The sequence below is a fragment of the Homo sapiens genome, chromosome 10 (assembly GCF_000001405.40).
Source record: "Homo sapiens chromosome 10, GRCh38.p14 Primary Assembly".
Taxonomy (NCBI): domain Eukaryota; kingdom Metazoa; phylum Chordata; class Mammalia; order Primates; family Hominidae; genus Homo; species Homo sapiens.
Genome location: NC_000010.11, coordinates 29466694 through 29482461, shown reverse-complemented (window position 1 = coordinate 29482461; position 15768 = coordinate 29466694). Strand labels below are relative to the sequence as shown.

Below are 15768 nucleotides of genomic sequence, written 5' to 3'. Positions count from 1 at the left end.
TGGACGGGAAACTTGGTAAGCATCTGCAGGTGACTGGGCGGCTAAAGTAGACAAGGTTTTCCTGCGGCTCCTGCCTTTTCCAAAATCCCCACCCAGCGTGCCACCCCAGGGTATCCCAAAGACAAGAATTTGCTAGAATGTGGCCCACACCTGTAGTCCCAGCACTTTGGGAGACTGAGAAGGAAGGATCACTTAAGGCCAGGAGTTCAAGACCAGCCTGAGCAACATAGCGAGACCCCTGTCTCATATTTAAAAAAATACAAAAATTAGCTACGCATGGTGGCACACACCTGCAGTTCCAGCTATCTGCAAGGCTGAGGCAGGAGGATCACTGCAGCCCAGGAGTTCAAGGCTGCAGGGAGCTATGATTGTGCAACTGCACTTCAGCCTAGGCAACAGAACAAGACCTTATCTCTAAAAAAAAAAAAAAAAAAAAAAAAGAAAAGAAAAGAACTTGCTAGAATGTAAGAAAAGTCTAGTCCTGACATGGTTCATGTCACATTCAGGCACATCAAAAACTCCATGGACACAAAGCTTTGCAAGACTTCAGACTAAAATAACAAAATGTCATTATTTGGTAAAATGCAGGAAAATAAACCATTTACTTTATATGTACTCACGTACTTTGAGGTTTTTTCCAGCAGCCGCATGTGTTTTAGATTCCTTTGTTTAAGCTTGGCTTCATCTTGGTTCTTTTCCTGTCTGTTCTCCCAACCCCCCTCCCACCCTACAGAAAAGGACAGGGGCGGCCCGACTGGGCGATATTTGGGAGACTTACTGAACACAATGAGACGATTTTGTTCAAAGAGAAGTTTCTGGATTGGACGGAACTGAAGAGATCGAATGAGAAGAACCCCGGGGAACTTGCCCAGCACAAGGTATTCCGGCGACCAAGCCTCAAAACTCGGGGCTTGGTTCGGGTCCCAATAAAAGTGGCCTTCATGTAAAATGATCAAATCAGGATAGTTCGTATGGCTGTCACCCCAGATGTATCATTTCTTTGTGGTGAGAACATTCAAATCTTCTCCTCTAGCTATTTTGAAATATGCAATACAGTATTGGAAAACAGTCACCCCACTGTGCAGGAGAAAACCAGAGCTCATTCCTCCTCTCTGTCACTTTGTACCGGTTGGCCAACATCTCCCTATCTTCCCTGTCCCGTCTCCTTCCCACACCCCCTTCCCCATAAAACAGATGCATGTATCAACACATCGAATCATACCCATAATAATGTGTCAACTAAAATACTTTTTTAATTAAAAAAAAAACCATGGACACACAGACACACAAACAAACACACACACACACACACACACACACACACACACCCTTAAAGCTAGGAAGCCTTCCCAGGATTCACTAGTAGAACAGCAGACAGGCCTCCAATTCTAATCTGACTCTGGGAAGTGAAGAGTCTGATTTGTGCCTGTTCTCAGGCACCCATGTGCTGTTGTGGCGATGGGTGTTCAGACCTCCCAGAGTCTTTCTGGAAATGCAGCCTTTCCCTGACTGCAGTTAAACATCCTGAGACAGAGTGTGGAAGCTGTATTTTTATGCTGTCCCATGAACAGCTGAAGCAGCATTGAGCATGACAAGGAATAGCTGCAGAAACAGGCAACTGAACTGATGTCTTTGTGTTCCCCTGTAGGAAGACCCCAGGACTGATGTCAAGGCATACGATGTGACACGGATGGTGTCCATGCCCCAGACGACAGCAGGCACCATCCTGGACGGAGTGAACGTCGGCCGTGGCTATGGCCTGGTGGAAGGACACGACAGGAGGCAGTTTGAGATCACCAGCGTTTCCGTGGATGTCTGGCACATCCTGGAATTCGACTATAGCAGGCTCCCCAAACAAAGCATCGGGCAGTTCCATGAGGGGGATGCCTATGTGGTCAAGTGGAAGTTCATGGTGAGCACGGCAGGTTAGTGAGCGCTTGTGGTTTTTTCCAGCTGAAAGAGGCTGGCCCGGCAGCCCTGCGGGAGCCAGCTTCTCCAATGAACCCTGTCATGCCCTCTGCTGCGTCCGTGCAGTGGGGCACTGCAGTCATGCGCCTTTGAGAGCCACCTAGTAAACTACAGAGATGAAAAGAAGTAAGGCCGAATTCCTAACAACCTAGCATTGCCGAGGCCGCTGGTGTTCACCTGTAGAAATTGAACTTGCACATCAAGGCTTCTCAGCTCCCTCTCTCCCTCCCCTGCCCCTGTCCCCAGAGCTTTTCTGGGAAAGAGATGATTGGCCTCTAAATGATATTTCCCATGTGGCTGTGTGCTGCTTCAATTAAAGTCGTTAAGTACAGCATATCTTCGTGATTTAAAGCTGGAACCAAATGGTGCTGTAACATTATAGTAAATACACGCACAGAAGATTGATTTGAAAAGTGAAAGAGGCTGTTTCTCCCGAGACTGAGAGCACGGGTGGTGCTTTGTGGGTCTGGTGTAGTAAATGCAGAGTCTAAACTCTCCTCGGTTCCTGATGGTGACGGACCCCATTGCAAAACACTCACCTGGATGCTTGGTGCTGGGGAAAGGGGGAGTCCGGTGAACTCTGGAGAAATCATCCCTTTCATTGCCAAGGAGGAGCCTTTTCCACAGCGCTGCTCACCCCTTCCCATTTAGGAGAGCATGCAGGTCACAGGTTTGTGATTTCAACTCAGAAGAGAGTATTTTTGCCTCTTTACAGCCCCCTTGCTGTGCAGGTGCACCTGCCCCCGGGGCCACAGGAAGCACAGGCAGCTGTTTGCTGATCAGAAAACTGCAGGCTCAGAACCAGGATTTCTTTCCTGATTTATACAAGATGCATCTATTCATCAGCTGACAACATTTCCTGAGCACCTACTCTACGGAAGACACTTTGTAGGGACCAAGTAAATATTTCAGACCCTGTCTCAGTGACATAAAGCAGGTGCAGGAACAGCCAGCAGGTGGGCCTCGCTGAGCACACGGCCAGTGGGGCTGTGTGCTGTGCAGAGCCGGGCTGTGGCCCAGAGGTCCCCCTGCCCCCTCAGGGCACGATGCTGGGGGCTTTACTCTGCCTGTAGCTGAGGGCCTACTGGGCTCCCTGAGACATTTCTGTTGTGGTGCTAATTTTTCAGATAAGGACCAAGACAGTAAGATCAAGGAACCTGCCTGAAGCCACACAGCTAGCAGGGAGTGGAGCTGGACACTCAAGTCCAGACCTGCCTCTTTTCAAACCCAACTGTGCTATTAAACCGCTCTGCGGGCAGAGAGTCAGAGTGGGGCTCCAGCACAGGATGTGGGCAGCTGTGAGTCTGGCTACAAGGAGGGGCTGAAGATCCCAGTCACCAGACCTTGGAGCAGGTCAGCATTGAACCAGCAGCAAGGCGACTTGAGGTTGGGCCGCTGAACACACCAAACTTCAGGGGCTTCTTAAACAGCAGGAAGGGGATCTTCCAGGGCCCAGGCAGCTCCAGCCTCTCCTTCCAGGGAGTAGTGGGATGTCAGACAAGGACCCCCAATGGGAGGGACATTTCTTTCTCTCTTTTTGTTCTTTTTTTTTTTTTTTTTTTTTTTTTTGAGACAGGGTTTCACTCTGTCTTCCAAGCTGGAGTGCAATGGCAGAATCTCGGCTCACTGCAGCCTTGACCTCCCAGGCTCAAGCCATCCTCGTGCCTCAGCCTCCCAAGTAGCTGGGACTACAGGCATATGCCACCATTATCAAGCTAATTTTTTCTTTTTTTTTTTAAGAGATGAGGTCTCACTATGTTGCCCAGGCTGGTCTCAAACTCCTGGGCTCAAACCATCCTCCCACTTCAGCCTCCCAAAGGGAGCAGCATTCCTCATCTACTTAATTTCTTATGAGCAAGCAATTGGAACTGCTCCTTTCCTTTTTCATAAGGAGCTGTGTCCCTTGAGGGAAGGCCACAGGTGCTGGGACCCTACAGCCTGGGATTCAGAATCTCAGGCCCTCACTTACCAGCTGTGTGGGCTGGGTAAAGTTACTCTGTCTGAGCCTTGGTTTTCTCACCTGGAAAATAGGGATTATAGTACTCAGCTCACAGGACTTTATAATCAGGTATATATGACGTTTAGCAGGTGCCTGGCCTGTGTTCACATTGTAGGTGCAGGAAATACTCATCACTGACATTGTCAGCAGGAACAGCGTAATTACTGTTTTTAACTTGAAGACAAGATAATGTGGATCTCCCCAAAACAATAACAATAACAATTAATAACAAAGAGTCACTGTCGTGGACTTACGCTTTTGCTTTTGTGCAGAGGTGGCATGTACAGTGTTAATCTCTGATGCTGGTTGCCAAAGACAATAATAATAGGGAATTGAGTGTGTTTCGGGGCAGGCAGATCTCTTAACCTTTGGAGTAATGGAACTGGGAACTTTAAAGAACAAACTAAAGGCACTTGTAGTGCCCGTTCCTAAAATGCAAAAAGGGAAATCGTGTTTTATAAAACCAGACATAGTTTAATTTAGCCATTTTCTTACTTTAGCTGTTAGTTATGAGAAAAAAAAGTAATTGTGAGTGAATGAATGAGTAAAACTGTTAAAGTGAATTAATTAAAAATAAAGCGAAGAGTTCAGACTTTCATGGACTATTGACTTGGAGGCCCTTAGGAAATATGATTTGAGCCGGGTGATTCCTTTCTATATTTCTTCCCAATGAACACAATGGACATCTCACAGCCAGCTCCAACAACATCTTTTCCAGCAGACTTACAACTTAGAAAAAGCCCAGCTTTAGAGAATTAAGTTAAAGCAGGGAGCATTCAGATTCCAGACCATCCCTCCAGCAGGGGGGAAGCACAGCCCGATGGCACTTGCAGTCACTCCGTAACCAACGCGGAAGCTCTGGCCCCTTGGTGACACTAGTCCGGCTCCCCTATCACTTGTGCGCACAAGGGCCACACCTGCAAACAGGACTGAGTCAGAGCTCAGGGTGCACTTCTGGGAGAGGGTCAGCAAAAGCAGCAGCTGCACAGGTGGTACAGCCTCCGCTTGGCCAATGCTGGCCGGCCTGCTAGGGTCAATGTCCTGGCCCAGTGCCTGCAGGGTAGGGTTGCTCACTCCCCAGCAGGGTCGCGACAGCTGCTCAAGGTGCCCAGGGATCTGAGCCAGGCTCCTCCAGGGCCTGATAGATGTCTAGTTCCTATAAATAGGTGGCTCTGGTGCAAGAATGCTTGACCATGAACAGTCTTTATATTTGTGTTTTCTGTTATTCCTAAATAGAACTACTAGTACCAAACATTCTTGAAAGTGCCTTGGTGGCGTAACATGTCCACACTTTAAATTAGGTAACTAATCAAGGTTGTAAAGAGAATAGCTGGCTGGGCACGGTGGCTCATGCCTGTAATCCCAGCACTTCAGGAGGCCAAGGCAGGCAAATCACGAGGTCAGGAGTTCGAGACTATCCTGGCCAACATGGTGAAACCCCCTGTCTCTACTAAAATACAAAAAGTTAGCTGGGCATAGTGGCGGGCACCTATAATCCCAGCTACTCGGGAGGCTGAGGCAGGAGAATCGCTTGAACCCGGGAGGCGGAGGTGGCACTGAGCCAAGATCATGTCACTGCACTCCAGCCCGGGCAACAGGGTGAGACCCTGTCTCAAAAAAAAGAATAGCCCAGAAGTTCTTACTACTAAAAATTTAATCTTTATATTGCCAAAATTAAAAATGAATACACATACGAAAAATTAAGTTTCATGTAGGACTAAATTTGGGTATGTGCAGAAAAACTGTAAAGAAAACTAGTGAAATGTTTGCTTCATAAAATATCTTTAAAGAAATAAAATTCTAGACTCACACTTGTAACCCCAGAGTTTTGGGAAGCTGAGGTGGGAAAATCACTTAAGGCCACATGTTTCAGACTAACCTGGGCAACATAGTGAGAGACCTTGTTTATACAAAAAAATAAAAAATGAGCCCAGCATGGTGGCATGCACCTGTAATCCCAGCACTTTGGGAGGCCAAGGCAGGAGGATCACTTGAGCCCAGGTGCAGTGAGCTATGGTCATACCACTGCACTCCAACCTGGGCAACAGAGCAAGACCCTGTCTCTAAAATAAAAGTAATTTAAAAAAGAGACACAATTCTATTTTGTGTATATACACTCAAGTCTGTTTGCAATGTTAGGATGTGATGTTGGTTATTTAAGTGTGAATATGTATTTACACAATGTATTTGAGTGCTAACAGATTTCAAGATCTTTATAAACTGTTATGATCTATTTGAAACATATCTTTCCTCAATAATCTATTTAGTGCAACAAATGTTCACTATTTGAAGAATGGGATTGCTATTCAAAGGCAAAGTTTTGTTGCTAAGTTAGCAGAAATTTCAATTAAGTGGCTTCCAAATTAATTGTGGGATTTATAATCTAGTCATTGATGGTTCCTATTTTATTTTGCCCTCTCAAAAACACCCAAACTTAACCAGTTGAGATCCACAGTGGATGGTACAAAAGACTGTGCTTAGTCAAAATACTGTAAGAAATTATTAGAATCATTTACGAAACCTATGTTACAGATACTTTACCAAACAAAGGGCTAAAAATCAAATAAATATGACCCCCTACCTTTTAAGAACTTAAATGAGTTTTATTCTTCCCTTCAAACCTCAATACAGTTGCAATGTTGGAAATGGGATTGGAGCTGGGAAAACTGCAGTGATATAAAACCAGAGACTCCAGTTATTCTCATTCCTTTTAAACCTGTGTGGGTGTTCCCACCAACTGCTGCAGCCTCCCGTGTTGACCCTCACTCCCTGGGACACCTGGGCCTTTGGGTCAAGTGCTTGGTCTACTGGCCTCACTCAGCCTAGAAGCTTCTGCTTCCAGATTAGCATCATTCAGGTCTACACTCCCCACCTCCTCAGAAAGGCCCTCCCTCAGCAGGTGTCCCACGAGCCCTGACCCTGCCTGGCGTCACCTTCTTGTCTCTTGTCCTCATAGCACTTATCACTATCTGAAATTGTCTTGCTCGTCTCTTTGTTTATTAGAACAAAAGCACCCAGCATCGAGTTCATCATTGTCTTGTTCACCATTGTAGCCCAGAATCCTGAAGTCCCCGCTCATTGAATATTTGTTGAATGCATGAACGAATGAAGGGAATCTAGAGTGAGACATATTCTTACAGGTAGAGATTTGGATGTCTGTAGTAACATCTAAAATGCCCATTTGGCCTATAATTCCAGCACTTTTGGAGGCTGAGGTGGGAGGATCACTTGAGGCCAGGAGTTAGAGACTAGGCTGGGTAACATAGTGAGACCCTATCTCTACAAAATTTTAAAAATAAAAATTAGCCAGACATGGTGACGCATGCCTGTAGTCCCAGCTATTTGGGAGGCTGAGGCAGGAGGATCATTTGAGCCCAGGAGGCTAAGGCTGCAGTAAGCCATGATTGCACCATTGCACTCCAGCCTGGGTGACAGAGGGAGACCCTGTAACCTCCCTGTGACTGCTCTCCACACCAAGCAGTCTCATCTGCCTCCTGTGCTGCTCATGTTTACCGAGTGCCTGTGCAGTTCCAGCCATGGGGACCATCAGCACTTAATCCTGGCAGCAGCCCTGGTGACAGACATGAAATCCAGATTAGTTTATGCTCAAGTGATATGTCAGCAACCTATCTCCTCCTTTCTGACAGAACTTGAAAACTTCAAAGTTGTATTTTTTACTAGAATAGTTTTAACAGCCTGCATTTTTTCCTTTGTGCTTAAAGCTGGCCCTGCTATTGTTTTTAACATTTTTTCTCTACCAGCTATTCTTTTGCCAAAGAGTGGTGTAATATGGAAAATGAGTTTGTGTCTGTGTGAGCCCTTAGTCCTGCTCTGGCGGTCACCAAATACTTTATTTATTTATTTATTTATTTATTTATTTATTTATTTATTTATTTATTTGTAAGAGAGTCTCACTCTGTCACCCAGGCTGGAGTGCAGTGACACAATCATGGCTAACTGCGGTCTCAAACTCCTGGGCTCAAGTGATCCTCCTGCCTCAGTCTCCCAAGTAGCTGGGACTACAGGTGTGCAACACCACACCAGGCTAATTTCTTTAAATTATTTTAGAGGTGGGGTCTTGCTATGTTGCCCAGGCTGGTCTTGAAATCCTGACCTCAAACAGTCCTCCCAGAGTGTTGGGATTACAGGCATGAGCCATTCACCTGGCCTCACCAAATATTTTGAAGAAATTACTCTGTTGCACACTTGGAGTGATCTGCCACCCCCTCCAGATGACAGATCTTTTTCTCAGGGCACCAAGAGGGCCCCTCAGATCCCTTTTCTCCCTGTGGGAAGTTCTGGGTCAGGAGCTGGAAGGAAGGTGGTTTTTCTCTTCTCCTGGGCGTGACCAGCCTTCCCTCCAGGTGCCAACGGTTTCTCCCCTGCCCTAGGTCCGAGGCTCTTTGCCACTGGTCCTTGCAGGCCCGGGGAAAGTGAGCCAGACATTTGCTTCTCCTCGGGTGTCTCAGCTGCTGACCTGTCCCTCTGCCATTCTGTGTTTGCAGTGGGAAGTCGCCAGAAGGGAGAGCACTCGGTGAGGGCAGCCGGCAAAGAGAAGTGCGTCTACTTCTTCTGGCAAGGCCGGCACTCCACCGTGAGTGAGAAGGGCACGTCGGCGCTGATGACGGTGGAGCTGGACGAGGAAAGGGGGGCCCAGGTGAGTCCTGGGGAGCTCTGCACCCCGGGGACTGAGAGGAGCATCCTCTCCTGGGAGCCGATGGCACTCGGCCTGGTCCCTCCCAACATGATTCTGATAATGGAAGACCACGTCACCCAAAGCACTTCAGTCCTGGTCTGGCTTCTGCAGGTCTCAGGCTGTGCCTCCCATTTCTTTCCTCCTCCCACTTTTTGTAAGATGATCCTGGAGAAAATGTTGTATCTGCAAATAGGAAATCCACATGACAAGTGCAGATGGCCAATGGGTGGCTTTGAAAGGTTTCCACCTAACCAATCAAGGCACTGTAAGTAAAACAAAGAGATGCCATCATCCACTTCTCACAGTGGTAGTGATTTTTTAAAGAATGGATCCAGGGCCAGCTGGCAAGGCCTCGGTAGGATGAGGATGCTATGTTTTGGGTGAGAAGTGTAACTTGAACAGCCATCCTGAAATTTTGTCACGAGAACCTTAAAACTTTGATCACTTGTTCCATGTACACGAATCTACATGAAGGAAGTATCAGGTGAATGTAAGGATTGGGAACGCCCATCACCTGTATTCGTGGCAGCCTGAGTGGTTTTCTGGAACAGGTCAGATTGGGTCACTCCCTTACTGTCTGCCACACACACTGCAGTCTAAGCGGCTTCCCAGGGCTCCAGCACCTTCGTGATGGGCCCTGGGCACCTCTCCAAGCTCCCCCTGCTCCTCCCCTCCACCCAGGCCACTCCAGCCTCTCCCTGTTCCACGGCCACCTCCTTCCACTCACCTCCTGCCCTGTGACCCATTCCACTGTCTGGAAACTTCCCCTGCCTACTCCATACTGCCTCTACGTATGTACCCCTGTGTACAGCCTCTTATGAGGCAGGTTTCTGTTGAAATGTTACCCGCACCACTGCCCCCCGCACCCATTCTATCCAGAGCCTTCTCATTCTCCCATCCTTCTCAGTCCCTGCACTTTATCCCTTTATTTTCACAGCACTTCCCACCACCTAAAGCTACATGATCCCCCAGGAGCATGACAGAGACCCTGAGACCCTGGCCTTACAACCCCATGGCCTTATCATCCCAGGGCCTGCATCGTGCCTGGGAGGGACTGCTGCCCAGATCCAAGGCCACCTAAAGCTACTGGCCTCACAACCCCATGGCCTTATAACCCCAGGGCCTGCATCATGCTTGGCAGGGACTGCTGCCCAGATCCAAGGCTTGCAAACCTGTCTCTTTAACATTCAGATGAGCTCTGCCTGAGTCTCCTCTGCTCTGTAGAGTACCAGCAATTAAGAGTTAACTTGCTGAGTAGCAGCAATTAAGAATTAACTCTGGGATTCTTTGAAAACAGGACAATGCCATGTGCAAATCTCTTTATTCTCCTGGATGAATGATTAACGATAGCAGGAGGGAAGACAGCAGAGACATTCTTGCCAGAAATAGATCCACACTCACCCAGCCTTCCACAGTTCCAAGAACCAATCACATTTCCTAAAACAATATTTTCTACTATGGACTATATTTTAGAAATGGTACTGGCAAGAGTTGCATTTTAATTTATTCCTAATAGCCATTTCAACTACCCCTTTATTTTTTTGTAAAGGCCATGAATGAATATGCTTTTATCATGCCTTCAAAATCATCCTCAGAGTTTTGAGTCTTAATCTCTCTCATTTGAGCATTTTACCTGTTACCAATCCAGTGGATGGAAAATCATTTTATTTTTATTTGTATCATTTTTTTGAGACAGGGGTCTCACTCTGTCACCCAGGCTGGAGTGCAGTGGCACCATCACCACTCACTGCAGCCTTGACCTCCCAGGCTCAATCAGTCCTCCTTCCTCAGCCTCCTGGGTAGCTGGGACTTCAGGCATGCACCACTACAGGCATGAGCCATGGTCCAGCTCTGGAAAATCATTTTAGATATGAAATACTGCCACAAAATGGCAATTGGTTATGCAAAATGGGCACAGAGATTGATAACTCACAGTGAGAAATGCTTTCTCTCAGTGCTCCCTGACTACCAGCTCCAGGAAACATTTCCTCTTTAAGGAAAGGTGTCCTAGAGGGAGGTGACTCAAACCTAACATTATTCGTGGTGCAGATAACACCTGAAGGAAGAGCCTTCTCTAACAGGCCAGGAAGAGGCTGAGTGGACTGCTGGGGTGGCCACAAACCATATATTTTCCCTAGAATTATTACCAAGTCAGTGATGAGTCATTCTCATTGCTGAGAGCTATCTTGTTAAGAATGTATTTATATCAGTCTTGTGACATCAATAACCACAGAATACCATTAAAATATCAGGAGTTATGTTTTAAAAGAATATTCCTTGACAGAACAACATTAAGTAAAGAAAATGAGGCTGTACATCAATATAAAGCAAGGCTCCTATTTTGTTTAGGAAAAGAAGACCCTCCCTGAGTAACACCCTGAGAGGAGGCTGCACACGGCAGCGTTCGCAGAGCTTCTCTTTAGGTGGTAGTGTTAGCAATGGCTTTTGTTTGTACGTCTTGGTATTTTTCAGATTTTCTGCAAGAGGCATGTATTGTTTTTAGGACTTTGAAAGCCCCGCGCCCCTTACCTATTTACCTCTGTTTAAATCGGAAGGTCCAGGTTCTCCAGGGAAAGGAGCCCCCCTGTTTCCTGCAGTGTTTCCAGGGGGGGATGGTGGTGCACTCGGGGAGGCGGGAAGAGGAAGAAGAAAATGTGCAAAGTAAGTCACTTTTACTGCTGGAATTCGACTTTGCCTTTCCCTCTCTTGGAAAGAATTTTTATAAGCTGGGGGCTGAAAGTGAGTCTGTCTTCATCTAGCTGTGGCTCGACCTCTGAAAGCCTCCTGATGTTTGCCTGATAACTCAGCTCTATGGGTGCTCATGACCCGCCTCTCCCTGGAGAATTTACTCGGGGATTCACCTTTGCACGCAGGAGGCTGGAAGGTGGTCTCCCCTCCTCTGTCTGCTGTTTTTAGGAAGAAAGAAAAATCAGTGGCTCTTCTATGATAAATTATGAAATTTTGTGTTGACCAGCACCCCACCCCCCAAAAAAATCTTAGCTCTAGAGCCTTTTAAAATATGCCTGTTATAGAACTTGTTGTATAAATCTTGGGAAAATGGCTTTTCTACATTGTGGACTTCAGATCACCTGCTTCTAACTATGTAAGAACCCACTTTTTAGGCTGGCAGGAAGGCCTGATGCCTCAGTGCTCCACAGGGCTCCCTGTGCAGTGCCTCAGCCCCTCCAGTCCCCTAAGTCCCTGGCCCTGGACGGAGGTGGCTGCCTTGGACGACACAGCGGACACTAGGAAGGGCCGCGTTTGCTGCCACTCGCTCACGTGCTAACTCCTCCGCGCCGCCGGTGCCCCCTGCAGGTGAGTGGCGGCTGTACTGCGTGCGTGGAGAGGTGCCCGTGGAAGGGAATTTGCTGGAAGTGGCCTGTCACTGTAGCAGCCTGAGGTCCAGAACTTCCATGGTGGTGCTTAACGTCAACAAGGCCCTCATCTACCTGTGGCACGGATGCAAAGCCCAGGCCCACACGAAGGAGGTCGGAAGGACCGCTGCGAACAAGATCAAGGAACAGTGAGTGTTGTGTCTGCGGCGAGTCCCCCCACACACCGGGCTTCCCAGAGGGACGGGGCAGGCTCAGGGGTACCAAGACTCCCAGCAGATCCCAGGGTGCTGAAAGTGACTGCAGCAAAGGATGGCTGGGAACGTGGTCAGGGGCCTCTGACATTCCGAGCAGAGAGGACACACATCTCAGTCCAGACCTCCGACTTGGGGGCCGCTCTGAGGATTTATCTGGCTGGGTGAGAGGCTGGTGAGGAGCCAGGGAGTGACTCTTGGAAGCACTCTGGGTTCTTTCTTCATAGTTGCCGTTCAGCTTTTGGATGAGAAGCCTGGGGGCCTTTGATATTTAAAGGGAGCACATTTCAAATTTGTGGAGTTTTCGTTTGCCAGAACAGCAGAGTGTTAAAAAGCTAAAGAAGAGTGTGGGAAACCGCCATCTGTGTCAGACGATAAGATATCCCCCATTCTGGAGAGCAGCCCCCGATGGAGAGGGATCGGACTCTCCGGGCACTTCCCGGGTACAGCACTTCCGGGTTGGGTTTTGTTCCCCTCCCAGGCAGGCACCTGCCGTTGGCCACTTGCAAAGACTCAGCACACTGTGAGATAGCACTGAGTGGGGACCTTGGGGAAGAGGGGAACCGGAAGGGCAGTGAAGGCCACAGCCCAGGGAGGACGCTGTGGTGGCCGGCCCCCCCGGTAAGGTGGTCTGCCTCTGTGGCTCTGCACTTCCTAGCAGCCCAGGCAAAATAAGCATTGCAAGCTGCCAGAGAAGCCCAGTGTCGCCCAGGCATTCAGGAGGCAACTGAGACCTGTGAGGACCTCAGTGAGGAAAAGTGAAGAGCTTCCTAGGGTCACATGTCCCCAGAGTTTGATTTGGTGAACCCCATTCTCTGGGTTCTGGAACAGAGCAGTGGCCAGGGCCCCTGTGTCCACTCTGAAAACACACTACCCAGAGAGGGCAGAGAGGAGAACGGGGCAGGTGACCTCTCTACAGGGAGGCAGATGTGAAACAAGATGTTTCATCTCAAAACACCACCTGTGGGCTAGGGCACGGGGAGGGGTGAGAAATCACATGCCCTGAGGTGGCCCAAGGCATTTGAGGCCCATCAGAGGGTTTACTTGGACCACTGAGGAAAAGAAAAACAATGAAGAGCTCATTCACATATTCACTCAACAAACATTTATTGAGTACCTGATTGGCGCCAAGCAATCTGGAATTACAGGACTTATCCTATAAATCTCGGAAAAAATGGTTTTTCTGCATCATGAACTTTGGGCAACCTGCTTCTAACTCCAAAGGACTGGAGTTAGGAACTGGGGACTTGGTGGTGAATAAGCCCAAGTCTCTGTCCTCATGAAGTTCATGTTCTAGCAGGAGAGAAAGACAAGAAATAGTCAATATGTATTGTTCTGTATAAAAATGTGTGTAATTTTCATGACACATTAGATGTGATTAAACATCCCTCCCTAGGAGCAAGTCAACTTCCCCTCCTCCACCACACACACTTAGAGACTGCAGAGCATTTTTCCATTCATGAGTAAGAATTGCTTTTCCTTAGAAAGTAGAAGAGACGGTGAACTGATCTCCAGATTTAGTTTTGAATAATTTATGGCTGTACCCCATATATATATGTACATGTATATATATATGTATATATATATACACCTACTATTAGTATATACCCACAAATTTTAAATTTAAAAAAAGCAGACAATAACAAGTATTGGCAAGGATGTGAAAATTGGAACCCTTACACATTACTTGGAAAACAGTCTAGCAATTTCTCAAAAGATTTAACAATACAGTTACCATATGACTAGCAACTCTACTAGATATCTACCCAAGAGAAATGAAAACACTTGTACATGAAGGTTCATAGCCATATTAGTCATAGTGGCCAAAAGATGGAAATAACCCAAATATCTACCAACATATTAATGGATGAAAAAAATTAGTGGAATATTATTCTGCCATAAAAAAGAATTCAGTATTGATACATGCTACAACATGGATGCACCTTAAAAACATTACACTAAGTTTAAAAACTCAGTCACAAAGGAACATATATTATATAATTCCATCTGTATGAAATGTCCAAAACAGGCAAGTCCATAAATACAGGAGTAGATTAGTGGATTCTGAGGACTAAGGATGGGGGAAATGCGGAGTGACTGCTAACGGGTACAGGGCTTCTTCTTCCGGGAGATGAAAATGTTCTGAAATTAGTGATGACAGTTGCACAACTCTGTGAATAAACTGAAATCTGTACACATAAAAAGAGTGAATTTTATGACATGTGAATTATATCTCAATAAAGCTATTATAAAGCTGTTATCATAATAGTAATAATAATTTTGGGTCACCAGCACTCTCCAGACTTATAAAGAACTCTTGGAGTTTCTCCCTTGCAGATGTCCCCTGGAAGCAGGACTGCATAGTAGCAGCAAAGTCACAATACACGAGTGTGATGAAGGCTCCGAGCCACTCGGATTCTGGGATGCCTTAGGAAGGAGAGACAGGAAAGCCTACGATTGCATGCTTCAAGGTAATGTGGCATCCACAGTCTGCGATCTGGTTTTTTTGTTTGTTTTTGGAAACAAGAGTCTTGCTCTGTTATCCAGGCTGGAGTATAGTGGTATGATCACAGCTCACTGCAGCTTCAACCTCCTGGGCTCAAGTGATCAGCCTGCCTCAGCCTCTCAAAGTGCAGGCTTGAGCCACTGTGCCCCATTCATGTTTTATCTTAATTCTTCAGTGTGTCTTAAATCTAGTGTGATGAGTATTATGTCCAGCTGATTGAACAGTTTTTTTCTTCCCAGGGGTGAGTTTAACTTGGACACCAGGACTTCAAATTCTCACTGGCAAATCAGCTCCCAAGGCCTCCCGGGGACCAAGCCACCTTCCAGGGTCTTAGGGACTCAGGGCACCATTTTCTTTCTTTCCTCATAGCTGCCACCTGAGAAATAGCAGTCCTCTGGGTGTTGGAGTGCGATCTGGGGAAGGAAGCCGGCCTCTTATCCCCTTTCCAGAGCCCTTCAGTCATTAACCTATTTGGAAATACAAAGATCGTGTCTGTATAGAACAGGCACTCCCATTCACCAGAGTGAGGTTAGGTGTGTATATGTGTACTTTCCCAGCTGTTCTAAAAATACAGATGAACATTAGAAGGAAAGCGAACTTTTGTTAAGCAGTTCCAGTAAGCCAGACACCAGCCAGCACCTTACATATAGTAACTCCGTTAGTACAACCCAACACTCTGCCATTTTTACAGATGAGGAAACTGAGGCATACAGAAGTTAATCAACTTGCCCAAGGCTGGGCAGCAATGGAGTATCCTCATAACTGCTCCATAATACTCTGCCCCTCAATGTTTATAAACTTTTATATAGCTTTTTAAACATAATGCCTAGAAAACGTTTGAAATTATGGAGAAGTTAAAAAAAGAAATGAAGTCACTTATAACCACATTTCTCAGAACAGAATTCACATTTCTCTATGCTATATATAATATCTATTTTAAAAAATAATATGTGGATCTACTGTTTTGTAACCTTTTTTCCTTTATAATGAATAATTTCCCAAGTTATTAAAAT

At 46.7% G+C, this 15768-nt stretch overlaps 1 protein-coding gene and 1 long non-coding RNA gene across 12 annotated transcripts in view, besides 4 other annotated features; one reads left to right on the top strand and one right to left on the bottom strand.

Moving 5' to 3' along the window:
• SVIL-AS1 (SVIL antisense RNA 1) overlaps window positions 1-15768 on the bottom strand; it is a 78323-nt gene that overhangs the window by 5395 nt on the left and 57160 nt on the right. For 2 of the 8 annotated variants that reach the window (NR_110925.1, NR_110926.1), the window contains exon 3: window positions 13332-15222. The exons of 4 other annotated variants lie outside the window; for them this stretch is intronic. This is a non-coding gene — a long non-coding RNA (SVIL antisense RNA 1). Of the gene's footprint in view, window positions 1-13331; window positions 15223-15768 lie in introns of those variants that run through there. 2 more of the 8 variants (NR_110929.1, NR_110928.1) reach the window with 1 other exon arrangement.
• SVIL (supervillin) overlaps window positions 1-15768 on the top strand; it is a 279599-nt gene that overhangs the window by 254475 nt on the left and 9356 nt on the right. For all 4 annotated transcript variants that reach the window (NM_001323599.2, NM_021738.3, NM_001323600.1 and 1 more), the window contains 6 exons: window positions 734-878; window positions 1649-1925; window positions 8473-8624; window positions 11219-11324; window positions 11979-12186; window positions 14587-14720. In NM_001323599.2, the coding sequence (NP_001310528.1) occupies window positions 734-878; window positions 1649-1925; window positions 8473-8624; window positions 11219-11324; window positions 11979-12186; window positions 14587-14720 (1022 nt within the window). The remainder of the gene's footprint in view (window positions 1-733; window positions 879-1648; window positions 1926-8472; window positions 8625-11218; window positions 11325-11978; window positions 12187-14586; window positions 14721-15768) is intronic.
• Window positions 3048-3579: an enhancer, noted in NCBI's record as "H3K27ac-H3K4me1 hESC enhancer chr10:29767812-29768343 (GRCh37/hg19 assembly coordinates)". NCBI's record gives its function as "activates a minimal SCP1, AML or CMV promoter by ChIP-STARR-seq in naive H9 embryonic stem cells {active_cell/tissue: H9 hESC(naive)}" and the evidence as "EXISTENCE:reporter gene assay evidence [ECO:0000049][PMID:30033119]".
• Window positions 4447-4946: an enhancer, noted in NCBI's record as "H3K4me1 hESC enhancer chr10:29766445-29766944 (GRCh37/hg19 assembly coordinates)". NCBI's record gives its function as "activates a minimal SCP1, AML or CMV promoter by ChIP-STARR-seq in primed H9 embryonic stem cells {active_cell/tissue: H9 hESC(primed)}" and the evidence as "EXISTENCE:reporter gene assay evidence [ECO:0000049][PMID:30033119]".
• Window positions 8474-9037: an enhancer, noted in NCBI's record as "H3K27ac-H3K4me1 hESC enhancer chr10:29762354-29762917 (GRCh37/hg19 assembly coordinates)". NCBI's record gives its function as "activates a minimal SCP1, AML or CMV promoter by ChIP-STARR-seq in naive H9 embryonic stem cells {active_cell/tissue: H9 hESC(naive)}" and the evidence as "EXISTENCE:reporter gene assay evidence [ECO:0000049][PMID:30033119]".
• Window positions 9038-9600: an enhancer, noted in NCBI's record as "H3K27ac-H3K4me1 hESC enhancer chr10:29761791-29762353 (GRCh37/hg19 assembly coordinates)". NCBI's record gives its function as "activates a minimal SCP1, AML or CMV promoter by ChIP-STARR-seq in naive H9 embryonic stem cells {active_cell/tissue: H9 hESC(naive)}" and the evidence as "EXISTENCE:reporter gene assay evidence [ECO:0000049][PMID:30033119]".